The 26,105-nt window shown below is 46.2% G+C and overlaps 1 protein-coding gene across 4 annotated transcripts in view, besides 2 other annotated features; it reads left to right on the top strand.

Moving 5' to 3' along the window:
• Positions 15,617-16,430: an enhancer, noted in NCBI's record as "H3K27ac hESC enhancer chrX:128984299-128985112 (GRCh37/hg19 assembly coordinates)". NCBI's record gives its function as "activates a minimal SCP1, AML or CMV promoter by ChIP-STARR-seq in naive H9 embryonic stem cells {active_cell/tissue: H9 hESC(naive)}" and the evidence as "EXISTENCE:reporter gene assay evidence [ECO:0000049][PMID:30033119]".
• Positions 16,431-17,246: an enhancer, noted in NCBI's record as "H3K27ac hESC enhancer chrX:128983483-128984298 (GRCh37/hg19 assembly coordinates)". NCBI's record gives its function as "activates a minimal SCP1, AML or CMV promoter by ChIP-STARR-seq in naive H9 embryonic stem cells {active_cell/tissue: H9 hESC(naive)}" and the evidence as "EXISTENCE:reporter gene assay evidence [ECO:0000049][PMID:30033119]".
• The window catches only part of ZDHHC9 (zDHHC palmitoyltransferase 9), a 40,599-nt gene continuing 37,360 nt past the window's right edge, over positions 22,867-26,105 (top strand). For 3 of the 4 annotated variants that reach the window (NM_016032.4, XM_047442151.1, XM_011531348.4), the window contains exons 1-3: positions 22,867-23,057; positions 23,427-23,494; positions 24,673-24,974. In NM_016032.4, the coding sequence (NP_057116.2) occupies positions 24,808-24,974 (167 nt within the window). In that variant the 5' untranslated portion in view covers positions 22,867-23,057; positions 23,427-23,494; positions 24,673-24,807. Of the gene's footprint in view, positions 23,058-23,153; positions 23,495-24,672; positions 24,975-26,105 lie in introns of those variants that run through there. The other variant, NM_001008222.3, reaches the window with a different exon arrangement.

Below are 26,105 nucleotides of genomic sequence, written 5' to 3'. Positions count from 1 at the left end.
GAATTCAGAGGTTAGAAGCAAGATGTTTTGGGAGGTAGGGTGAGGCTCATCAGTGAGAATGAAAGCCAATTTCCTAGACTTGCCTGGGGAAGGTATATTAGAACGGGGGCCATTTGTTCTCAATGTTCAACTCCCACTTATGAGTGAGAACATGCAGTGTTTGGTTTTCTTTTCCTGTGTTAGTTTGCTGAAGATGATGGCTTCCAGCTTCATTCATATCCCAGCCAAGGACATGATCTCATTCCTTTTTATGGCTGCGTAGTATTCCATGGTGTATATGTACCACATTTTCTTTATCCAGTCTATAATTGATGGGCATTTGGGTTGGTTCCACAAACCTGCACGTTCTGCACATGTATCCCATTTTTTTTTAGAAGAAATAAAGAAAAAAGAAAAGAAAAGAAAAAAAAGAATGGGGACCATTTATCTTGGATGGCCAGAGGTTTGGTAGACATCCTCAAGTTTAGACAGGCCTTAGAGTTCAGATGAAAAAGGAGTGTATCTTCATATTAGAGGCTCAGTTTGGACAAGGGAAATTTCAGTGTGTGTGTGTGTGTGTGTGTGTGTGTTTAAAATTTGTGAAATTTGATCTTACAGTCACTGGGAGAAGGCAGAAATTTTGAGGAAAAGGAGTCCTCAATAAAGCATTCTTTTACCCTAAGGTATTTGGTCTCTTGTCATTATTACATCCAAATTAAAACAAGACAAGGAACTATGTATTCCTTGATAAAATGGTCTTCACTTGTAATCTGTATTAGAGTACTTAAAACTCCTGATCAATCAATTATATATCGTACATTGAAATGTACTTAAAATTTTGTCACTGCAACTTTTTCACACCTCCAATTATCCTTATTTATTTATTTTTTGAGACAGAATCTCCCTCTGTTTCCTGGGTGGGAGTACAGTGGTGTGATTATAGCTGACTGCAGCCTTGACCTCCTGGGCTCAAACGATCCTCCCAGGCTCAAGCAATCCTCCCAGTTCAGCCTCCCAAGTAGCTGAGACTACAGGTGTGCACCACCATGCCCAGCTAATTTTTTGACTTTTTTGTAGAGATAGGGATCTCGCCACATTGCCCAGACTGATACCGAACTCCTTGGCTCAAGTGATCCACTTGCCTTGGCCTTCCAAACTGCTGGGATTACAGTTGTGAAACACCACACCTGACCTAATTTCTTTTTAGTTTTTTCACTGTGTGGGATTCAGAGTCTAATAGATTGCTGAAATACATATTTAATACCTCAGTTTTAAATATAAGAAATATGATAATATTATATCCAATTGTAGCTGTGCAGAGGTTTGGCTTAAGATCCAAATACTATAGCTCAGCCGGGCACAGTGGCTCACGCCTGTAATCCCAGCACTTTGGGAGGCCAAGATGAGCGGATCACCTGAGGTCAGGAGTTCAAGACCAGCTTGGCCAACATGGTGAAATCCCATCTCTACTAAAAATACAAAAATTAGCTGGGTGTGTTGAGACTTGCCTGTAATCCCAGCTACTTGGGAGGCTGAGGCAGGAGAATTGCTTGAATCCAGCAGGCAGAGGTTGCAGTGAGCTGAGATCGTGCCACTGCACCCCAGCCTGGGCAACAAGAGCAAGACTCTGTCTCAAAAAAACAAGTATAGTTTTGTACAATATACTGATATAAAAATTAATATTTTTGTATAGCTAATATAGGCACATGGAGCAAAGTTCCAAAGTTATCAAAGGGCATACACTGAAAATTAGGTCTCTCTTTCTCCCTTATCTCCAAGTTCTCCAGTTCCTTCCCCTGAAGGTAACCACTATTACAAGTTTCTTACGTTTCCTTTTACAAATATTCCACAGTGCATTGATTCTGGAACAAGACATTTCCCCCTCCTTAGCAAGCTCTCAGTATCTGGCAGCAAAAAATGTTGCTCTTCAAGGTGAAAAACTAATGTTCCGAGTAGTAGCATGGAACAGTGACCACTCTTGTTCCTTCTCAAACTCCTCCTTAGAAACCATATTCCCAGACCGGATCAGCAGACATTTGTCTAAACTACTTCTAGCTGGACATAACATGAACACAGACACCTTTATCATGAGTGTACAAGAACCCAAACACCTAACACATCCAGAAGTTTAATATTTATTTAGTGCATATGTGTAAAAAAGTAGGTGCTTTTGGTAGGTTGTTGAGCAAGGAGGGGGTTGTGGTTTTATGCAAGATGGAATCAGGGAGAAATTATTCACTCTTTTCCAAGAAGTTGGAGAGGATTTCATCAAAGAGGTGCTGTGTAAATGACAGAAAGGAGATGCAGAGAAGGTATTACAGCATGAGTTGTGGTCTGGGAGAAATGTTGGAATTGGGGTTTGGGATAAAAGAAAGACGGTAGTGTTGAGTGTTGACTCGTGAAGAGCAAGGGGAGGCATTAGATTGACAGGAGGAGGCAGTGAAGGGAGAGTGAGGTAATATGGGATTTGCATTTGTAGATAATGAAGGCTTATATAGGACCTGTGGACAGAAGTCAGTAAAGAACTCTGTATTTACTATGCTTCCTATATTCCTAGCACTGCTGTTGGAACTATCACTTGGTCTAGAATTTTTCTCTGAGGCACTAAAGAATGGATTGTGGGTCTGGGCGCGGTGGCTCACGCCTATAATCCCAGCACTTTGGGAGGTCGAGGTGGGTGGATCACTTGAGGCCAGGAGTTCGAGACCAGCCTGGCCAACATGGTGAAACCCTGTCTCTACTAAAAATACAAAAATTAGCCAGGCATGGTGGCATGTGCCTGTAATTCCAGCTACTCGGGAGGCTGAGGCAGGAGAATCACTTGAACCCGGGAGGTGGAGGTAGCAGTGAGCCGAGATCTTGCCATTGCACTCCAGCCTGGGTGACAGAGTAAGACTCTGTCTCAAAAAAAAAAAAAAAAAATGGATTGTGGGATAGTATGGTGGGTTTCCTACATCATGTTCTTCTCACAGGTTGACTCTATTTACTAAACAGTCATAACGCTCCGTAATAACTTGTTATGCATCTATGATCCACACATTTATTTAAAGCAGGGTTCCTTAGCCTTGCCCCTATTGGCATTCTGGTTTGAATAACTCCTTGTTGCGGCAAGCTGTCCTGTGCATTATAAGATGCTTAGCAGCATCTTTGATGCCAGTAACACTCTCCCAAAAATGTCTTTAGACATTGGCAAATATCCCTTCGGAAGGGGGCAAAATCACCCTCATGGGGAACCACTAATATAAAACCTCACAAACCTATGTTTTGTTCTGGAAATTGTAAATTCCCCCCACATTTTTTTTTTTTTTTTTTTTTTTGGAGACGGAATTTTGCTCTTGCCCAGCTATTTTTGTATTTTCAGTAGAGATGGGGTTTCTCCATGTTGGTCAGGCTGGTCTCGAACTCCCGACCTCAGGTGATCCGCCTGCCTCGGCCTCCCAAAAAACTCCTTTAAAAAATTAACATCTAAACTGGATGTGGTGGTGCTCATCTGTAGTCCCAGGTACTCCAGAGGCTGGGGTGGGAGGATCTCGAGCCCAGGAATTAAAGGCTGTAGTGCGCCATGATTGAGCCTGTGAATAGTCACTGCACTCCAGCCTGGGGAACACAGCAAGACCCTGTCTCAAAAAATTAACATTTAAAAATCTTTATCAAAATAATGCATTGGGCTGGGTAAGGTGGCTCCCGCCTATAATTCTAGCACTTTGGGAGGCTGAGGAGGGTGGATTGCTTGAGCCCAGGAGTTCAATACCAGCTTGGGCAACATAGCAAGACCCCCATCTCTACAAAAAATTTTTAAAAAATTAGCTGGGCATGGTGGCATGCATCTGTAGTCCCAGTTACTCAGGAAGCTGAGGTGGGACGATGGCTTGAACCTGGGAGGTTGAGGTTGCAGTGAGCCATGATTGCACCATTGCACTCCAGCCTGGGTGACACAGCAAGACCCATCTTGAAAATAATAATAATAATAATCATGATAATAATGCATTTATGTAAATAAAAATCACTCATAATAGAAAGCAACTATCTCCTGCCTTGCCCCTGCCTACCTGTAGTCCCATTCCCTAAGAACTGCCACTTAACTGTTTCTGGTTTGGGTTTTTCTAATGATTTCTGCCATATACATTCACCTGTTTATCCATTTACTTAAACAATATATTAGTTGAGCACTGTGTTTGTTTGCTCGGGCTGCCATCACAAAATACCACTGGGTGGCTTAAACAATAGAAATTAATTTTCTCACCATTCTGGAGGCTGCAAGTTCAAGATCAAGGTGCTGGCAGGGCTGGTTTCCTTTGAGGGCCACCAGGGAAGGATCTGTTCCAGGCCTCTCTCCTTGGCTTGCAGATGGTTGCTGTCTTGCTGCCTCCGAACCTGGTTGTCCCTCTATGCATGTGTGTCCCTGGTGTCTCTTCCTCTTCTAAGGACACTAGTCATATTGGAGCAGGGCCATACCCCAATGGCCTCAGTTTAATTTAATCACCTTAGTGAAGACCTTATCTCCAAACATAGTTTCATACTGAGGTACTGGCATTTCAGTACATGAATTTTGGGGGACACTATTCAACCCATAGCAAGTACCTACTGTGTGCCAGTCACTGTTCTAAACACTGGGCATGGAACAGCCAACAAAACGGATGAAAATCTCTGCTCTTGGCTGGCGTGGTGGCTCAAGCCTGTAATCCCAGCACTTTGGGAGGCCGAGGCAGGTGGATCACCTGAGGTCGGGAGTTTGAGACCAGCCTGGCCAACGTGGCGAAACCCCATCTCTACTAAAAGTACAAAAAATAGCCGGGCATGGTGGCAGGTGCCTGTAATCCCAGTTACTTGGGAGGCTGAGGCAGGAGAATCGCTTGAACCTGGGAGGTGGAAGTTGCAGTGAGCCAAGATTGCAGCACTGCAATCCAGCCTGGGTGACAGAGTGAGACTCTGTCTCAAAAACAAAAACAAATAGAGTAGCCAGGGAAAACCTCTCTGAGAAGTCGACATTTGAGTAAGGACCTGAAGAAGGTGATAGAGAAAGTCATGCAAATGTCTGGGGAAGGATAATTCTAGGCAGAAAGAACAGCTGGTGCCAAGGTCCTGAGGTGGGAACATGTCCAGTTTGTTCAAGGAACAGCAAGGAGGCTCCTGGGGCTGGTGTGAAATGAGCAAGGGGGAGTAGCAGGAGCTGCAGGGGTCGGGGGATGGTGAGGCAGATGATGGCATAAGGCCTAGTAAACCATTGTTATGGCTTTGGCTTTTGTTCTGAGTGAGATAGCAAGCCATTGGACAAGTCATGGGTGGAGGTAGGTTTCAAAAGAATCTCTCTAGCTGCTCTGTGAATAACAGACTAAAAGGGGGTTAGGGAGGAAGCAGGGAGACCAGTAAGGGGAATGTTGCAATAATCCATTTTTTCTGAATCCTTCCTTGGTTTACCAGCTCTAGACATCCTCTATTGAGCTGCTCTGATAGGTGGGGATTTAGCTCACTTCTGCTGCAGCACTGCCTTTTTCTTCCTGCTAATACATCACTAGTTTTAGTTTCTCTGTTTAGGTCCTTTCCCCAGAGGCAATCATTCTAATGGTATCTTTTTGTTTGCATGCCTTTTTGGTTATCTTTGTGCCTTTTTTTTTTTTTGAGACAAAGTCTTGCTCTGTTGCCCAGGCTGGAGTGCAGTTATGTGATCATAGCTCACTGCAGCCTCGACTTCCTGGGCTCAAGTGATCCTCCCATCTCAGCCTTCTGAGTAGCTGGGGTGACAGACTTGCATCACCATGCCCAGCTAATTTTTTGATTTTTTTTAGAGACAAGTGTCGCCATGTTGCCCAGGCTAGTCTTGAACTCCTGGGCTCCAGCAATCCACCACCTCAGGCTCCAAAAGCCCTGTGATTACAGGCATGAGCCACTGTGCCTGGTCTCTTTGTGCCTTTATATAAGGTACATAAACCTCTATTTCTTGTTCATCTATAGATAATATCTCTTAATTGTACACTTTCTAAAATTAGAGTATTAGTGCCGCTACACATCCTTCCACCTCCCCTCATTCTATTTTCCAACTTCTGTAAGCTATGCTTTTATATTAAGTTTTTAACATTTCCTTTATACTTTGTAATCATAGTTAAATTTCCTGTGATTTGTCTCTAGGTTAGATTCCAAAAGTTGAAAACCAATAAAGATAGTATTTACATTGTTATAATTATATAAATATTTTTCAGTGTAAAGCCAAGGGATGTGCCTTGATTGCATTTTCTTCTTTATAGTTCCAATGTCACAACCTCCATCAATAACTCTATATCATTCCATATTCTAGCTGCCTTTATTATTAGAAAATGGCATTCTTGATTGCCTTTTTTTGTAGTTAAGCTAGATATATGCCTTCTTTACCATATCTCTGCTATCTTCCAGCTTCTTCCTTATTTTGTCTATTGCTTAGAATAAAGTCCATTCTTCTTAAAGCCCACTTCCTGTGTTAGTTCTTTTGTTGTCGTTGTCGTTGTTGTTGTTGTTGTTTTTCTTTTTCTTTTTTTTTTTTTTTATGAAGATGGAATCTTGCTCTGTCGCCCAAGCTGGAGTGCATGATCTGGGCCCATTGCAGCCTCCGCCTCCTGTGTTCAAGTGATTCTCCTGCCTCAGCCTCCCGAGTAGCTGGGATTACAGGCATGCACAACCACGCCTGGCTAATTTTTGTATTTCTAGTAGAGGCGGGGTTTCACCATGTTGGCCAGGGTGGTCCCAAACTCTTGTCAAGAGGTGATCTGCTCACCTCGGCCTCCCAAAGTACTGGGATTACAGGTGCAAGCCACTGCACCTGGCCTAAAAGTTGTATTTTATTAATATAAATGTTTAGACTTAATATTTAGGGGACACTTGCCTGTCGGCACATAGATAGTTAATTATTGAGAAAATATATATATATTTTTAACAAGAGTGTTCTTTATTTGTACAAAGCATCTTTGTGAATAAAGAATCTTCTCAGCATTCTTTATTCACAAACTTTTCACTATATTTATTTAACAAGTTAACAGTGTCAAACTACATGTTACTACCTGTCAAGCCCCAAGCGTTCAACTTAGAGACAAACAAAAAGTGCTTGGAGCACTGAATGGAAACAGAAAAAGGCTAAGAAAGGCCAACAGAGATATTTTAGAAGCAGTCAAAGAGGATGGTTTGGGGAGAGTTAGATTCCTGAGCAACATCAGATTTCCCTTAAGGTTCAGAGGGCCTTCACAAAATAATTTTTAGTAGACATGAGACAAAATTAGCTGGGCTTGGTGGCATGCATCTGTAGTCCCAGATACTCGGGAGGCTCAGGCAGGAGGATGACTTGAGCCCAGGAGTTCAAGCAGGCAGTGAGCTATGATCATGCCACTGTACTCCACCCTGGGCCAGAGTGAGAGAGAGACCCTATCTCTTAAAAAAATAAATAAATATGGCGGAGGGGCGCCAGCCATTGCTGAGGCTTGAGTAGGTAAACAAAGCTGCCGGGAAGCTCGAACTGGGTGGAGCCCACCGCAGCTCAAGGAGGCCTGCCTGCTTCTGTAGACTCCACCTCTGGGGGCAGGGCATAGCTGAACAAAAGGCAGCAGAAACTTCTGCAGACTTAAATGTCCCTGTCTGACAGCTTTGAAGAGAGTAGTGGTTCTCCCAGCATGGAGTTTAAGATCTGAGAACAGACAGACTGCCTCCTCAAGTGGGTCCCTGACCCCCGAGTAGCCTAACTGGGAGGCACCTCCCAATAGGGGCCTACAGACATCTCACACGGCCGGGTGCCCCTCTGAGACGAAGCTTCCAGAGGAATGATCAGGCAGCAACATTTGCTATTCTGCAATATTTGCTGTTCTGCAGCCTCCACTGGTGATACCCAGGCAAACAGGGTCTGGAGTGGACCTCCAGCAAACTCCAACAGACCTGCAGCTAAGGGTCCTGACTGTTAGAAGGAAAACTAACTAACAGAAAGGACAACCACACCAAAACCCCATCTGTACGTCACCATCATCAAAGACCAAAGGTAGATAAACCACAAAGATGGGGGGAATCCAGAGCAGAAAAGCTGAAAATTCTAAAAATCAGAGTGCCTCTTCTCCTCCAAAGGAATGCAGCTCCTCACCAGCAATGGAACAAAGCTGGATGGAGAATGACTTTGACAAGTTGAGAGAAGAAGGCTTCAGACAATCAAACATCTCTGAGCTAAAGGAGGATGTTCGAACCCATCGCAAAGAAGCTAAAAACCCGGAAAAAAGATTAGGCAAATGGCTAACTAGAATAATCAGTGTAGAGAAGTCCTTAAATGACCTGATGGAGCTGAAAACCATGGCATGAGAACTACATGATGCGTGCACAAGCTTCAGGAGCCGATTCAATCAACTGGAAGAAAGGGTATCAGTGATAGAAGATCAAATGAATGAAATGAAGCAAGAAGAGAAGTTTAGAGAAAAAAGAGTAAAAACAAATGAACAAAGCCTCCAAGAAATATGGGACTATGTGAAAAGACCAAATCTACGTCTGATTGGTGTACCTGAAAGAGACAGGGAACGGAACCAAGTTGGAGAACACTCTGCAGGATATAATCCAGGAGAACTTCCACAAACTAGCAAGGCAGGCCAAAATTCAAATTCAGGAAATACAGAGAACGCCACAAAGATACTCCTCAAGAAGAGCAACTCCAAGACAAGTAATTGTCAGATTCACCAAAGATGAAATGAAGGAAAAAATGTTAAGGGGAGCCAGAGAGAAATTTCAGGTTACCCACAAAGGGAAGCCCATCAGACTAACAGCAGATCTCTCGGCAGAAACTCTACAAGCCAGAAGAGAGTGGGGGCCAATATTCAACATTCTTAAAGAAAAGAATTTTCAACCCAGAATTTCATATCCAGCCAAACTCAGCTTCATAAGTGAAGGAGAAATAAAATCCTTTACAGACAAGCAAATGCTGAGAGATTTTGTCACCACCAGGCCTGCCTTACAAGAGCTCCTGAAGGAAGCACTAAACATGGAAAGGAACAACCGGTACCAGCCACTGCAAAAACATGCCAAATTGTAAAGACCATCGATACTAGGAAGAAACTGCATCAACTAACGAGCAAAATAACCAGCTAACATCATAATGACAGGATCAAAATCACACATAACAATATTAACCTTAAATGTAAATGGACTAAATGTTCCAATTAAAAGACACAGACTGGCAAATTGGATAAAGAGTCAAGACCCATCAGTGTGCTGTATTCAGGAAACCCATCTCACGTGCAGAGACACATATAGGCTCAAAATAAAGGGATGGAGGAAGATCTACCAAGCAAATGCAAAACAAAAAAAAAGGAGGGATTGCAATCCTAGTTTCTGATAAAACAGACTTTCAACCAACAAAGATCAGAAGAGACAAAGAAGGCCATTACATAATGGTAAAGGGATCAATTCAACAAGAAGAGCTAACTATCCTAAATATATATGCATCCAATACAGGAGCACCCAGATTCATAAAGCAAGTCCTTAGAGGCCTACAAAGAGACTTAGATTCCCACACAATAATAATGGGAGACTTTAACACCCCACTGTCAACATTAGACAGATCAACGAGACAGAAAGTTAACAAGGATATCCAGGAATTGAACTCAGCTCTGTACCAAGTGGACCTAATAGACATCTACCGAACTCTCCAGCCTAAATCAACAGAATATACATTCTTCTCAGCACCACATCGCACTTATTCCAAAATTGACCACATAGTTGGAAGTAAAGCACTCCTCAGCAAATGTAAAAGAACAGAAATTATAACAAACTGTCTCTCAGACCACAGTGCAATCAAACTAGAACTCAGGATGAAGAAACTCACTCAAAATCACTCAACTACATGGAAACTGAACAACCTGCTCCTGAATGACTACTGGGTACATAACAAAATGAAGGCAGAAATAAAGATGTTCTTTGAAACCAACGAGAACAAAGACACAACATACCAGAATCTCTGGGACACATTTAAAGCAGTGTGTAGAGGGACATTTATGGCACTAAATGCCCACAAGAGAAAGCAGGAAAGATCTAAAATTGACACCCTAACATCACAATTAAAAGAACTAGAGAAGCAAGAGCAAACACATTCAAAAGCTAGCAGAAGGCAAGAAATAACTAAGATCAGAGCAGAACTGAAGGAGATAGAGACACAAAAAAACCCTTCAAAAAATCAATGAATCCAGGAGCTGGTTTTTTGAAAAGATCACCAAAATTGATAGACTGCTAGCAAGACTAATAAAGAAGAAAAGAGAGAAGAATCAAATAGATGCAATAAAAATGCTAAAGGTGTTATCACCACCGATCCCACAGAAATACAAACTACCATCAGAGAATACCATAAACACCTCTATGCAAATAAACTAGAAAATCTAGAAGATACAGATAAATTCCTGGACACATACACCCTCCCAAGACTAAACCAGGAAGAAGTTGAATCTCTGAATAGACCAATAACAGGCTCTGAAATTGAGGCAATAATTAATAGCTTACCAACCAAAAAACGTCCAGGACCAGATGGATTCACAGCCGAATTCTACCAGAGGTACAAGGAGGAACAGGTACCATTCCTTCTGAAACTATTCCAATCAATAGAAAAAGAGGGAATCCTCCCTAACTCATTTTATGAGGCCAGCATCATCCTGATACCAAAGCCTGACAGAGACACAACAAAAAAAGGGAATTTTAGACCAATATCCCTGATGAATATCGATGCAAATATCCTCAATAAAATACTGGCAAACCAAATCCAGCAACACATCAAAAAGCTTATCCACCATGATCAAGTGGGCTTCATCCCTGGGATGCAAGGCTGGTTCAACATATGCAAATCAATAAACGTAATCCATCATATAAACAGAACCAAAGACAAAAACCACATGATTATCTCAATAGATGCAGAAAAGGCCTTTGACAAAATTCAACAGCCCTTCATGCTAAAAAATCTCAATAAATTAGGTATTGATGGGATGTATCTCAAAATAATAAGAGCTATTTATGACAAACCCACAACCAATATCATACTGAATGGGCAAAAACTGGAAGCATTCCCTTTGAAAACTGGCACAAGACAGGGATGCCCTCTCACCACTCCTATTCAACACAGTGTTGGAAGTTCTGGCCAGGGCAATCAGGCAGGAGAAAGAAATAAAGGGTATTCAATTAGGAAAAGAGGAAGTCAAATTGTCCCTGTTTGCAGATGACATGATTGGATATTTAGAAAACCCCATCATCTCAGCCCAAAATCTCCTTAAGCTGATAAGCAACTTCAGCAAAGTCTCAGGATACAAAATCAATGTGCAAAAATCACAAGCATTCCTATACACCAATAACAACCAGAGAGCCAAATCATGAGTGAACTCCCATTCACAATTGCTTCAAAGAGAATAAAATATCTAGGAATCCAACTTACAAGGGATGTGAAGGACCTCTTCAAGGAGAACTACAAACCACTGCTCAACGAAATAAAAGAGGACACAAACAAATGGAAGAACATTCCATGCTCATGGATAGGAAGAATCAATATCATGAAAATGGCCATACTGCCCAAGGTAATTTATGGATTCAATGCCATCCCCATCAAGCTACCAAGGACTTTCTTCACAGAATTGGAAAAAATTACTTTAAAGTTCATACGGAACCAAAAAAGAGCCCGCATTGCCAAGACAATCCTAAGCAAAAAGAACATAGCTGGAGGCATCATGCTACCTGACTTCAAACTATACTACAAGGCTACAGTAACCAAAACAGCATGGTACTGGTTCCAAAACAGAGATATAGACCAGTGGAACAGAACAGAGGCCTCAGAAATAACACCACACATCTACAACCATCTGATTTTTGACAAACCTGAAAAAAACAAGAAATGGGGAAAGGATTCCCTATTTAATAAATGGTGCTGGGAAAACTGGCTAGCCATATGTAGAAAGCTGAAACTGGATCCCTTCCTTATACCTTATACAAAAATTAATTCAAGATGGATTAAAGACTTAAATGTTAGACCTAAAACCATAAAATCCCTAGAAGAAAACCTAGGAATACCATTCAGGACATAGGCATGGGCAAGGACTTCATATCTAAAACACCAAAATCAATGGCAACAAAACCCAAAACTGACAAATGGGATCTAATTAAACTAAAGAGCTTCTGCACAGCAAAAGAAACTACCATCAGAGTGAGTAGGCAACCTACAGAATGGGAGAAAATTTTTGCAATCTACCCATCTGACAAAGGGCTAATATCCAGAATCTACAAAGAACTTAAACAAATTTACAAGAAAAAAAATCAAACAACCCCATCAAAAAGTAGGCGAAGGACGCGAACAGACTCTTCTCAAAAGAAGACATTTATGCAGCCAAAAGACACATGAAAAAAAGGTCATCATCACTGGGCATCAGAGAAATGCAAATCAAAACCACAATGAGATACCATCTCACACCAGTTAGAATGGCGATCATTAAAAAGTCAGGAAACAACAGGTGCTGGAGAGGATGTGGAGAAATAGGAACACTTTTACACTGTTGGTGGCAGTGTAAACTAGTTCAACCATTGTGGAAGACAGTGTGGTGATTCCTCAAGGATCTAGAACTAAAATACCATTTGACCCAGCAATCCCATTACTGGGTATATACCCAAAGGATTATAAATCATGCTGCTATAAAGACCCATGCACACGTATGTTTATTGCAGCACTATTCACAATAGCAAAGACTTGGAACCAACCCAAATGTCCATCAATGATAGACTGGATTAAGAAAATGTGGCACATATACACCATGGAATACTATGCAGCCATAAAAAGGATGAGTTCATGTCCGTTGTAGGGACATGGATGAAGCTGGAAACCTTCATTCTCAGCAAACTATCGCAAGGACAGAAAATGAAACACTGCATGTTCTCCCTCATAGGTGGGAACTGACCAATGAGAACACTTGGACACAGGAAGGGGAACATCACACACCAGGGCCTGTCGTGGGGTGGGGGGAGGGGGGAGGGATGGCATTAAGAGATATACCTAATATAAATGACAAGTTAATGGGTGCAGCACACCAACATGGCACATGTATACATTTGTAACAAACCTGCACGTTGTGCACATGTACCCTAGAACTTAAAGTATAATTAAATAAATAAATAAATAAACAAGGCCGGGCATGGTGGCTTACGCCTGTAATCCCAGCACTTTGGGAGGCCGAGGCGGGTGGATCATGAGGTCAGGAGATTGAGACCATCCTGGCCAACATGGTGAAACCCTGTCTCTACTAAAATGCAAAAAATTAGCTGGACATGCTGGTGCGCACCTGTAGTCCCAGCTACTTGAGAGGCTGAGGTAGGGGAATCACTTGAACCCAGGAGGTGGAGGTTACAGTGAGCTGAGATCATGCCACTGCACTCCAGCCTGGCTACAGAGCAAGACTCCATCTCAAAAACAAACAAACAAACAAACAAACAGCAACAACAACAACAACAAAAAGCATGATGAGATTAGAACCAAGGAATCAAGAGATCAGAGGAACTCACACTTTGGAGTACTAAGCAGGTAATCAAAGCTCCTAGACTGACATAAGTGAGAAAAGGAGGGAGAGCAGAAAGTGGGATGGGGAGCAGAGGAGAGGCAGAAGAGAGAAAGGAAGTAAGAGGCGCAGAGGGAGGAAGCTGTGCCTAGAGGAAATAAAGTTTGGAACTCATCATGAATTGAAGAATGAAAAGCCATAGTCACAAGTCTGGGAGATGGACTTCAAGAAGAGGAAGCCTGGGGTTTTACACCTTCCAGCAGGTGATGACAAATCCCAAAGCTGTACAGTAGCAGAGAGTAAGATACATGTGACACTATGCCATCTGTTTTTGTAAAAGTAAGACACTGGCACCCTTGCTTGACGAATACCATTTTAAACTGCTGATTTAAGAACATTTGTGACCAGATTACCCCCACCCCAGCAGGTCGAATTATCTACAGGCAATTTAGAAAGGTTTTGAGCCAAGTGGGTCTATGAAAAACAAAATTCAGTTAACGCTTCTGTCAAGTGAAGAGACAGAACAGATTTTGTTATTATCCCACAGCATTTTAGTAGTTTCCTAAAGCTTACTCATTCTGACCAGTCTTAGTAAGCTACTATTGTCAAAGACTGTGCAATCAAACATAGGCTGACCATAAGCAAAGCCCCAATTTTCCTGAGCTTTGGCTGCCTCTGTGATCTGGAACACATCAGGCAGCATGGAAGTTATTATTACTTATTTGGGGGAATAGGAAAGACTGCGGATCAAAAACCACCTAACCATACAAATAAGTAACCAAAAGTGATCAAACTGACTAATTTAGCCGTTCAGAATCCCTTTTGCCAAAAAGTCATAACCTTGAGGTTGATGAAGTAAAACAGGATTCTGCTACTCAGATGCTTTGAGTTTAGGAAGTGCTGGTTTTGATGGTATTTCTAGTCAGTTTTTATTCTGATCTTTTCAGGCACTTCTGCCTGAGACTACTCTGCCCAGCATGAAAAAGCTTCACAGAAACATGTAGCACATCTCATCTCAAGTGGTACCTTCCAAGATGCCACAGTCTCCTGCCCTATTCAGTTGTCTACTTCTTCCTCTTCGTTCTGTTCTTCTTCCAGCCTTTCTTCATCTTCATCATTGTTCTCATCTCTGCTCTTGTCTTGCTCTTCCGAGTCTGTTTTTTTGTCTTTGTCCTTCTTCTTTTGCTCTGAGGCCCCCTTCTTGCCTTTCTGCTCCTGCCTATATGCATCCAGAGCTTCTTTTTTTTTTCTTTTTTTCTTTTATTTATTTATTTATTTATTTATTTATTTATTTATTTATTTTTATTGATCATTCTTGGGTGTTTCTCACAGAGGGGGATTTGGCAGGGTCATAGGACAATAGTGGAGGGAGGGTCAGCAGATAAACAAGTGAACAAAGGTCTCTGGTTTTCCTATGCAGAGGACCCTGCGGCCTTCCGCAGTGTTTGTGTCCCTGGGTACTTGAGATTAGGGAGTGGTGATGACTCTTAACGAGCATGCTGCCTTCAAGCATCTGTTTAACAAAGCACATCTTGCACCACCCTTAATCCATTTAACCCTGAGTGGACACAGCACATGTTTCAGAGAGCACAGGGTTGGGGGTAAGGTCACCGATCAACAGGATCACAAGGCAGAAGAATTTTTCTTAGTACAGAACAAAATGAAAAGTCTCCCGTGTCTACCTCTTTCTACACAGACATGGCAACCATCCGATTTCTCAATCCTTTCCCCGCCTTTACCTCCTTTCTATTCCACAAAACCGCCACTGTCATCATGGCCCGTTCTCAATGAGCTGTTGGGTACACCTCCCAGACGGGGTGGTGGCTGGGCAGAGGGGCTCCTCACTTCCCAGTAGGGGCGGCCGGGCAGAGGCGCCCCTCACCTCCCAGACCGGGCGGCTGGCCGGGTGGGGGGCTGACCCCCCCACCTCCCTCCCGGGCGGGGCGGCTGGCCGGGTGGGGGGCTGACCCCCCCCACCTCCCTCCCGGACGGGGCGGCTGGCCGGGCGGGGGGCTCACACCCCCACCTCCCTCCCGGAAGGGGCGGCTGGCCGGGCGGGGGGGCTGAACCCCCCACCTCCCTCCCGGACAGGGCGGCTGGCCGGGCGGGGGGCTGACCCCCCCACCTCCCTCCCGGACGGGGCGGCTGGCCGGGCGGGGGGGCTGAACCCCCCACCTCCCTCCCGGACGGGGCGGCTGGCCGGGCGGGGGGCTGACCCCCCCATCTCCCTCCTGGACGGGGCGGCTGGCCGGGCAGAGGGGCTGCTCACTTCCCAGTAGGGGCGGCTGGGCAGAGGCGCCCCTCACCTCCCGGACGGGGCGGCTGGCCGGGCAGGGGGCTGACTCCCCCACCTCCCTCCCGGACGGGGCTGCTGGCCGGGCGGGGGGCTCACACCCCCACCTCCCTCCCGGATGGGGCGGCTGGCCGGGCGGGGGGCTGACCCCCCCACCTCCTTCCCAGACGGGGCGGCTGGCCGGGCAGAGGGGCTCCTCACTTCCCAGTAGGGGCAGCCGGGCAGAGGCGCCCCTCACCTCCCGGATGGGGCGGCTGGCCGGGCGGGGGGCTGACCCTCCCCACCTCCCTCCCGGACGGGGCGGCTGGCCTGGCGGGGGCTGACCCCCACCTCCCTCCCGGATGGGGTGGCTGCCGGGCAGAGACGCTCCTCACTTCCCAGATGGGGTGGCTGCCGGGCGGAGGGGCTCCTCACTTCTCATATGGGGCCGTTGCCAGGCGGAGGGTCTCCTCACTTCTCAGACGGGGCGGCTGGGCAGAGACGCTCCTCACCTCCCAGACAGGGTTGCGGCTGGGTAGAGGCGCTCCTCACATCCCAGACGGGGCGGCGGGGCAGAGGCGCTCCCCACATCTCAGACGATGGGCAGCCAGGCAGAGACGCTCCTCACTTCCTAGATGGGATGGCGGCCGGGGAGAGGCGCTCCTCACTTCCTGGATGGGATGGCGGCCGGGCAGAGACGCTCCTCACTTTCCAGACTGGGTAGCCAGGCAGAGGGGCTCCTCACGTCCCAGACGATGGGCGTCCAGGCAGAGACGCTCCTCACTTCCCAGACGGGGTGGCGGCCGGGCAGAGGCTGCAATCTCGGCACTTTGGGAGGCCAAGGCAGGCGGCTGGGAGGTGGAGGTTGTAGCGAGCCGAGATCATGCCACTGCACTCCAGCCTGGGCACCATTGAGCACTGAGTGAACCAGACTCCGTCTGCAATCCCAGCACCTCGGGAGGCCGAGGCTGGCGGATCACTCGCGGTTAGGAGCTGGAGACCAGCCCGGCCAACACAGCGAAACCCCGTCTCCACCAAAAAAATACGAAAACCAGTCAGGCGTGGTGGCGCGCGCCTGCAATCGCAGGCACTCGGCAGGCTGAGGCAGGAGAATCAGGCAGGGAGGCTGCAGTGCGCCGAGATGGCAGCAGTACAGTCCAGCTTTGGCTCGGCATCAGTGGGAGACGGTGGAAAGAGAGGGAGAGGGAGACCGTGGGGAGAGGGAGAGGGAGAGGAGGGAGAGGGAGAGAGAGAGGGGGGAGAGGGAGAGGGAGAGGGGGGAGAGGGAGAGGGAGAGGGGGGAGAGGGAGAGGGAGAGGGAGAGCCAGAGCTGCTTTTTTAAAAATTTTTTTTTATTTTTTATTTTTTCTGAGACGGAGTCTCACTCTGTCACCAGGCTGGAGTGCAGTGGCGCAATCTCGGCTCACTGCAACCTCCGCCTCCTAGATTCAAGTGATTCCCCTGCCTCAGCCTCCCGAGTAGCTGGGACTACAGGTGCGCACCACCACACCTGGCTAATTTTTGTATTTTTAGTAGAGACGGGGTTTCACCATGTTGGCCAGGCTGGTCTCAAACTCCCGGCCCCAAGCAATCCACGCGCCTCGGCCTCCCAAAGTGCTGGGATTACAGGCGTGAGCTAGTGTGCCCGGCCTCAAGAAAATATTTTAATGTAAAATTTCCATTGAAATATTCCCACATATAGGAAGGCAGTGGTCTGCTCTTTTCTGTATGAATGTTATATACCATTATTTTTAATAGTTGCATAGTACTGTACTATGTAGATTTCCAATAGTTAATGGCCTTTTTTGTTTGCTAATTTTTGCAATTACACATACACAATTATGCACATTCACAAACAATTGCAATGTGTGTAGTGAACATCTTTGAACATATATCTTTGAACATTTGTGCGAGTATTTCTAGATAGAAGTAGGATTGTTGGGTCAGTGGTTGTGTAATGCAAAAATGTTAAAAGATACCGCCAAATAGCCCTGCTGAAAGATTTTTACCAGTTTACTCCTCTACCAATGGTATTCGAGAAGCTACAACCCTTTGAGGCAAGATCTCCTTAAGAAGTTGGAGACTCTGCTATGCATAGTTGAGAATTTGACTCTGCACTGTTTTGTATTTATCTTTAATGACTTCATAGGTGCTAGTCTTTTTGCCCCTAGAATATTTTAAGTTCCTTGGAGGCTGGGATCATGTCATATACTTCCTTGGTATTTCCCATATTGCCTAGTACAGGCTGAGCAAACTATGGCTGTTGCTTAATACATACTTCATGATTGATTGATAAACTGGTTCTATTTTTGGGCTGCACAGTGATTGAGGTGAGCTCTTGGAATGAGAGAGCTGGGCAGAGTCAGAGACTAGGGCTGTGCCGGGTCAGTATCAGATGCTGTCACTTGCACATCAAGTTTAGACCGTAATCTGAGAATCTAAATGTATAAAGCACCTACTACAATCCCTGGCTCAGAGGAGGTCCCCAATAAATGATTTCTATTGCTGTTATGATTCTCTTTTAATGAGAGGATTGTCTTAGGGCTACTGTTGAGGGTTCAAGCATAGGACCTAAAGCCATCCCAGGCAGAGTCAGAAATCCACAGTCCAGAGATGAAGTCAAATTGGGAACCAGTGGGAGCAGCCAGGCATCTGAGGCAGAAACAGAGACCTGCGTTTGGGCAGTTCACTTGCATTGTGATGAACACTTTCCTGGCCATCCCAGGCTGTTTTTTGGGGGGCTTTCTGCATGTTTGGCTTTCATGCAAAAGTATCTTTTTTGTTTGTTTTTGAGACGGAGTCTTGCTCTGTCGCCCAGGCTGGAGTGCAGTGGCGCAATCTCAGCCCACTGCAACCTTTGTCTCCCGGGTGGAAGCGATTGTTGTGCCTCAGCCTCCCAAGTAGCTGGGATTATAGGCACCTGCCACCAAGCCCAGCCAATTTTTGTGTTTTTATTAGAGTCGGGGTTTCGCCGTGTTGGTCAGGCTGGTCTTGAACTGCTGACCTCAGGTGATCCACCCGCCTCAGCCCCCCAAAGTTCTGGGATTACAAGCGTGAGCCACCGCGCCTGGCCATGCGAGGACATCTTTAAGGTGCTGCTTAGTTCCCAAGAGAAGCCAACAATCTCAGCACAGGGCTGTGAACATAGGAGGTGCTCAGTGAAAGCAATCCCATTTACCTTTTGCCTGTTGAAACAGATAATGTGGCAGGAATGTCAATGATTTACTTGAGAAGAGGAGGCTAAGGATCAGCCATTCTACTAGAACAAGATTACTATCCAGGCTTTCCCCAGTCCCAGGTGGGGTAGGGGGCTGGGAAACCCAGTCAGATAAGGATTCAATTCAGTGATGAATTTAGAGGTTATGAAAACGTGGTGGTACATGGATGACAAGGACTCTATACAGTGAAGAATGGGTCTCATTTTTTCTACCTCTCTACCCCAGTCAGCAGGATGGCTAAGGGAGGGAGATGGGAGGGGGCAGTAATGGAGATGTCATTATAACATACAGCATTGACTGTGTCTCTCTTCCATGCCAGACAGTTAGCACACAATTCCCTTTATAACTCCATGATATAGGTATTAGCTTTATTTTACAGATGAAGAAATAGTCTCAGAAAGGATAAATTACTTGCCACAGGTTATACAAGCTATTACGTAGCAGAGCCAGGATTTGAACCGAGGCCTGTCTGGCCATAAGGCTTATGTGCTTTCTGAGCTACCTACCATCCTGGATCTTCTATGTCAGTGATAGCAGCCCAGGCCTCAGAGAAACAGATGTTGCTTAAGAATACTAGCTCATCATGCGTGGGTAGGGCATTCCGTGGTTCATTCTTTTGTTCATCAATTCGTTCTACACACACATGCATTTATAGCCAGAAAGCAGAAAGAGATGTGCAAGTCAGAGAGGTGGGGTGGAAAGGGCTGTGTGTGTGGGGAGGAGGGCAAAGTGACATGACAAGTTTGAGGCTACAGAAAATAGAGAATAAAGGAGCTATCATGAGCTCAAAAGCAGGATGGGGGCTGATGCTTTATGTCTGCTCCTGGATGTAGTACTGAATGGGTCTCCGGGTGGTTACAGAAGAGTCTTTGAAGCAACACTAACAGGAAAGCTTCAACCCAGTGGTGGCACTCAGGATCAAACAGCACATTACACCTACACCTACACACGCCTACACACACACACACACACACACAAACACACACACATGAAGAATAAATGTGGAGACAGGTATTTTTAAACAAATACTCCAGAACATACATGATAACACAAGGAGCTGTCTTATAAACTGGAAGGCTATACCTTGATTTTTGTGGTGTTTCTAGTGCTCATCACATGACTATAACCCCTTTTCTTCTCTCTCTTTCTTTCTTTCTTTCTTTCTCTCCCTCTCTCTCTCTCTCTCTCTCTCTTAGATGGAATCTCGCTCTGTCGTCCAGGCTGGAGTGCAGTGGAGCGATCTGGGCTCATTGCAACCTCCGCCTCCCAGATTCAAGTGATTCTCATGCTCAGCCTCCTGAGTAGCTGGGATTACAGGCACCTGCCACCATGCCTGGCTAGAGATAGGGTTTCACCATGTTGGCCAGGCTGGTCTCAAACTCCTGTCCTCAAGTGATCTGCCTGCCTTGGCCTCCCATAGTGCTGGGATTACAGACGTGAGCCACTGTGCCCGGCCTATAACCTCTTTTCAAAAGAGCCAACACTGACTTGGATGTAAAAAGTGGGAAGTCTGTTGAAAAGAGAAGAGAAAAGAATAGGAAAAAACAGTCTCAGTTTATAGTCACAATTTAGTTGTGTGTGTGTATTAAGACTTTAAGGATTATATAAAATGATGTAACTACATAGGAGGAAGTACTATGGGATGTTTGTCCACATAAATTTTCCTTATTTTTCTTTGAGTGTTGAGAATAAATAATAACAGATTGTAATAAAACAAGCCTGACTCACATAGCCACTTAGTCCGAGAGGGAATGTGACCCAGAGCAGGGAGGGACAGAGCTCAGGAATGTGTCACCATGACACATCGATTCCAGGACTCCTCAGGCTTCACCTGCACCTGAGCTATGGACAAAATATGTTTGAGTGCTACAGAGGCTTATTTTTCACTGCTCCATAGTCAGAAGGATGGCAGCTGGGGTGACCATACTATTCCTAAGGGCATCTGATATACATAGGCTTGGAAATCCACAGGGCTGATGAGGTTTAGGGAAGTTCTTCTCCCTCCCATACCAAGTGTGTGCAATACCAGCACCCTCCAGAATTCAAAGCGGGAGAATTGGAGGCAATGATACTGATCGTACACTTCATGAGGAATAAACTGTTGATCATAATCAGCATGAGTGCTAAGGAACAATGGAAGCTTTATAAAGACAAACCTTCCTTTGCAAGTTAATTACAACACATCTCAGAATTACCTAGTGTTTTTTAAATCCTTTAAGAATTTTGAAGGGTGCCATGAAAGTGTCAAATGTAATTATTATGTAGCTTTTTGTTTCATATTGTGTGGGACACATATACTGTAAAGGAAAAATAGTTCTTGACCATGTATGTGGTCCTTCAACTAACATACAACTGCCTTAGGAAGAGCTTTGGCAGTCTCTTCTGTACTAATTCCAAATACCAAATCTCTAAAACTTTGAAATTTTTATCACGCTTAGGAAAACCTAGGCTGGTAATGTAGGCATTCTCCTCCAATCTTCAACCTTTTCTCTTATCTCCTCTTACACTTGGAAAGGAGATGCCACCTTCAACCTTTTCTCATATTTCCTCTTATATTTGGAAGGCAGGAGCCATACTGGTGAAAACAGACCTAGTGTCTTTTAAAGTCACCCTATAGTATAATACTGTGGTTCTCAATTGTTTCCCCCCTTCAATCTCAAACTTTTTTTTTTTTTTTTTTAAGACAGGGTCTCTCTCTGTCGCCCAGGCTGGAGTGCAGTGGCATGATCTTGGCTCACTGCAACCTTCACCTCCTGGGTTCAAGTGATCCTCCTGCCTCAGCCTCCCTGGTAGCTGGGACTACAGGCGAGTCCCACCGCTCCCCGCTAACTTTTGTCTTTCTAGTAGAGACGGGTTTTGCCATGTTGGCCAGGCTGGTCTTGAACTCCTGACCTCAGGTGATCCACCTGCCTCGGCCTCCCAAAGTGCTGGGATTACAGGCGTGAGCCACCGCGCCCAGCCCAATCTCAAACTTTTAATGCATGCAACTCACTCGGATCAGTAGCAGTGGCTCATGGTGGCAGTAATGCAGAGCTGGGTGGCAGAAGGAAAAAATCAATCTGGTTGGTGGGTGGGAATTCTGCCTTGGATTCTCCCCTTAATCATCATAAGCTTTCCAAACCGAATAAAAATTTACAACCTTTTTGGCAATCTTTACTTCATTACCTACCTGGAAGAATTTATGTCCTCAGTGGAGTTTCTTTAACTCCATTAATGTCAATTAGTTGTTTTAGGTGCTGCAAAATGATAATACGTTCTTGGGGACATTTATCCTTTACAACATGCTTTTTATGCTTGTTTGTGTGTTTTGATTTGAAAGACTTAGAGATGCAGGCTAGGGTGACTGGGACAGATATGGGGTCCCTGGCTACTGAATGAGACTTGGGAGGCAGATGACTTGTTTTTATGCCGATAAAGAGTAAAATCTCAAGTTGCGGTTGATTTTAAAATGCAAGCAGGGCTGGAGAGGCCCATGGCAGACCTAGTTTGGGGTGAGCACCCGGATCTGTGAGCTAGTGTTGCTTCAGCATCTCACTGTGTGTGTGTGTGCGCGCGCGTGTGTGTGTGTGCGCGCGCGCGCGCGTGTGTGTAGGCTGGTTCCACCCTTTGCTGTCCCATCGGCACTACCCTTAACCTCCGTCTCTGCGTAACTATATTAATAGAAGGCAACACTTCACATACTGGCGCTCAGACCCCAAAGAGAGGCTGGCAGTGGCTTGGCAGGTGGGCATGCAGCAGGGAGATGGGTGGAGGAGTGGGCGGAGGCATCGTCGAGTGGCGTTAGGCAAAACCAATGGCAGTTCGGGATAGGGGCGGCCGGGGCGGAGGCGCCGAGGCCGATCGGCCAATAGAGGGCGAGCAACTACTGGAGCGACCTGGTGACGTGAGGAGCGTTCCATTTGGCCAGTGGTGGGCGGTTGCCACAGCTGGTTTAGGGCCCCGACCACTGGGGCCCCTTGTCAGGAGGAGACAGCCTCCCGGCCCGGGGAGGACAAGTCGCTGCCACCTTTGGCTGCCGACGTGATTCCCTGGGACGGTCCGTTTCCTGCCGTCAGCTGCCGGCCGAGTTGGGTCTCCGTGGTTCAGGTAACGAGGGGTGGGGGCGGGGGTCTCCTGGGCTCGGCTGCAGGGTGGGCTGCCTCCCCTTCCGCGGCGCCTGGAGGCGGGGACGTCGGCACCGCCCTTCTCAACTCGGCAGCCGCCGAGCCCCTGGCCCGGGGTGACTACACGTGGCGGGGCGTGTGTGAGTGTGTACGAGCGTGTGGCTGCGTGTGCGTGTGGATGTGGCGCGCGTCCCAACCTGCCTGGGGCGGTGGTCCGCGGCGTGGCGGAGTCAGGGCGGGCCTCGAGAGGCCGCGCCCGCGGCTCGGCCCCGGACTCCGGCCTCCGGCCTCCGGCCCCCCGCTGGGGAGCCGGTCGCTGCTTCCCGACGGATTTTGATCTTTGTTCTTCCAGGCCGGCTCCCCCTTCCTGGTCTCCCTTCTCCCGCTGGGCCGGTTTATCGGGAGGAGATTGTCTTCCAGGTTAGTTTTACACAAAGGACGGGTTCTCTGCACCTCTGGGCCCCCCTCCCCTTCCCCGAACCTTCTACCTTCTCGTTTCCCTGCTCCGCTCCTAGGCTGTTTTTGGACCTTTGCCCTCTCCAGCCCGCGAGTTGGCTGTTTCTCCCTCCGTCCGTCGGGCTGCAGGCTTCCGCCTCAGTCCTGCCAGCGTGGGGCATGTGGTGTCGGTAAATAGAGGCCACAACACCACACCTGAGCGGAGGAGAAGGGTAGCAGAGGCTGAGAAACTCTGGGCCTGGGAATTCAGGATGCTGAGTAGAGATGGTACTTAGGACATGTCCCAGAAAGCGCCCTTGTGACTTTTCTTAGCTGCTGCCATTCCCCACCCCCCAACCAGCCATCAGCAGTCACCAACCATTCCAGAATCTCTCCTGCTTAAGTCAGCCTTTCACCTACAGGTCTCTGATGTGGTTTCATTAAGATTCTCACAAATGTTAGGCTAGACCAGCCAGATTGTTTCATTTCCCGGACTCAGGAAGTTGCAGAGGGTTTGATGAGGGGAAATCTGTTTTGTGTAAATACAATGCACGTATGTGCACAGAGCGTCCAGAACCTCCTGGCCCTGCCAGAGGGTGACTTGTTCCCTGCTGTGATTCATATTCGAGTGGCTAATTGAAGAAAGAAGGTGAAGTGGAGGAAGGGAGGGAGGTTTTATAAGGACAGAAACTCTACTATTATTTTTAGAGTCCTTTTAATGATGTTGAAAGAACACTGTGGCATAGTGGAACATGCCCTTGACTGGAAGTTAGCAGTATCAGCATTGCTGCTGTGTGGTCCTGGATAAGTTATTTCCTCTCTCTGGTCCTCAGTTTACTCATTTACAAAACAAAGTATTAATAATTGGCACGATCACCTATAAAATCCTCTCTAGTTCCAAGGTTCTGTGATGATCAGATCATCAGCATTAGATTGGAAGCATAGAGGCTTATTTAAGAAGAAATACTAGCCCCTTTCCTTTTTTGAGAACCTTTTATCATACCTTCTTTTAGAGAACAAACACGAATTGGAAATAAACTTTTCCCACTTCCCCGTCCCCACCCCTTCAGTCAGTTTTCAACTTTCTGTCTCTGGGAAAGGAGGGTTGAACTGTATTTTCTTATTATTGCCTCATTTTTTTTTCTTTTTCTGCTTTTTCTTAGGGCTAGCAATTGGACTTTTGATGATGTTTGACCCAGCGGCAGGAATAGCAGGCAACGTGATTTCAAAGCTGGGCTCAGCCTCTGTTTCTTCTCTCGTGTAATCGCAAAACCCATTTTGGAGCAGGAATTCCAATCATGTCTGTGATGGTGGTGAGAAAGAAGGTGACACGGAAATGGGAGAAACTCCCAGGCAGGAACACCTTTTGCTGTGATGGCCGCGTCATGATGGCCCGGCAAAAGGGCATTTTCTACCTGACCCTTTTCCTCATCCTGGGGACATGTACACTCTTCTTCGCCTTTGAGTGAGTTTCGGTTGAGTAGAGTTACCTGATTATGGTTACTTTGGGTCCAGGGGAAGAACCTGCTTTCTGGGGAGTTTGGGGCTGGTCCTTGGATGACTTTAACGTCCTCTTGAGCGATGTCTGTAGAGATGCCAGCTGAATTCATTGCTTCGTGGTCATCACAGAGTATGTACTTCCTAAAAAGACCAATACCTTTGATACCAATTTTGTAGTACTGATTTGGGGCTGTCCTTGATAGACTTGGGAAATAAGAAAGTTTGTCTTAATTACTCACCTCTCCCTTTTAGTGGTCTCCTTAGAAGCTAAATGACAGATGGCCTCCCCTGCACACAAACCTGAGGGCACCCCTCATTGTTACATTACTCAGCAATCCTCACCTATTTTGTTATTCTGGGTCCTGTTTCCTTAAGGCTCAGCTCTCAGCTAGCTGGTACAGTGAAAAGCCAACTGAGTTGGGAACCTACAGATTAGTTCCAGCCTCAGCTGGACCACATACTAGTTGTGTGCGTGGCACATACGTGCTTATTAGAAGTGAGTTGCTCTTTCCCTCAAAATCACTCAACGTAAACAGCTCTATATTCTGTGTATGTCTGGTACCAGCCTTGGAGTGATTTTTTTTCTGTGGTGTAATACCTCGTACTCGAGCCACTGTTTGAAGTCTGTGTAGGTCTCGTCTCTAGGGGAGGTGGCCGGCTGGATTCTAGGGCACTGTGGCGTGTCTCCTGGGTGTGCTGAGAATGCTCTACACTCTAGGGATGGGAGCATTGCTAATTGTTTTGGGATTACTGTGAGGAGGCCTTTGAGAGCCAAGAGGTGTGTGTGTGGACTGTAAGCCACACCTGAGGTGAGCGTGCTATGGTGTATGTACATGGGTGACCTGGAAATGGAGGGCTTATGCTGGGGTGTGTCCATGGGAGGTAGGAGGGGGCACCTTGGCCAGCCTAGTGGGGAAGTAAAATGAGCTCTGGTCCCTTGGGGCTCATTTTTGTCCTTCTGTGAGGGCTTCAGGCTTTCCCAGTGCACCCAGAGTGATTTTTGGGCTGCTTTGCCAGACTTTTGGGTGGTTGCAGCTGGCTTGAGTAACAGCAGGGGGAGGGAGATCCAGTTTATAACGGGGCTGGGAAAGTAAGG

The sequence above is a fragment of the Homo sapiens genome, chromosome X, assembly GCF_000001405.40.
Source record: "Homo sapiens chromosome X, GRCh38.p14 Primary Assembly".
NCBI lineage: Eukaryota > Metazoa > Chordata > Mammalia > Primates > Hominidae > Homo > Homo sapiens.
Note: the sequence above shows the minus strand (reverse complement) of the source record. Positions and strands in the feature narration are given on the sequence as shown.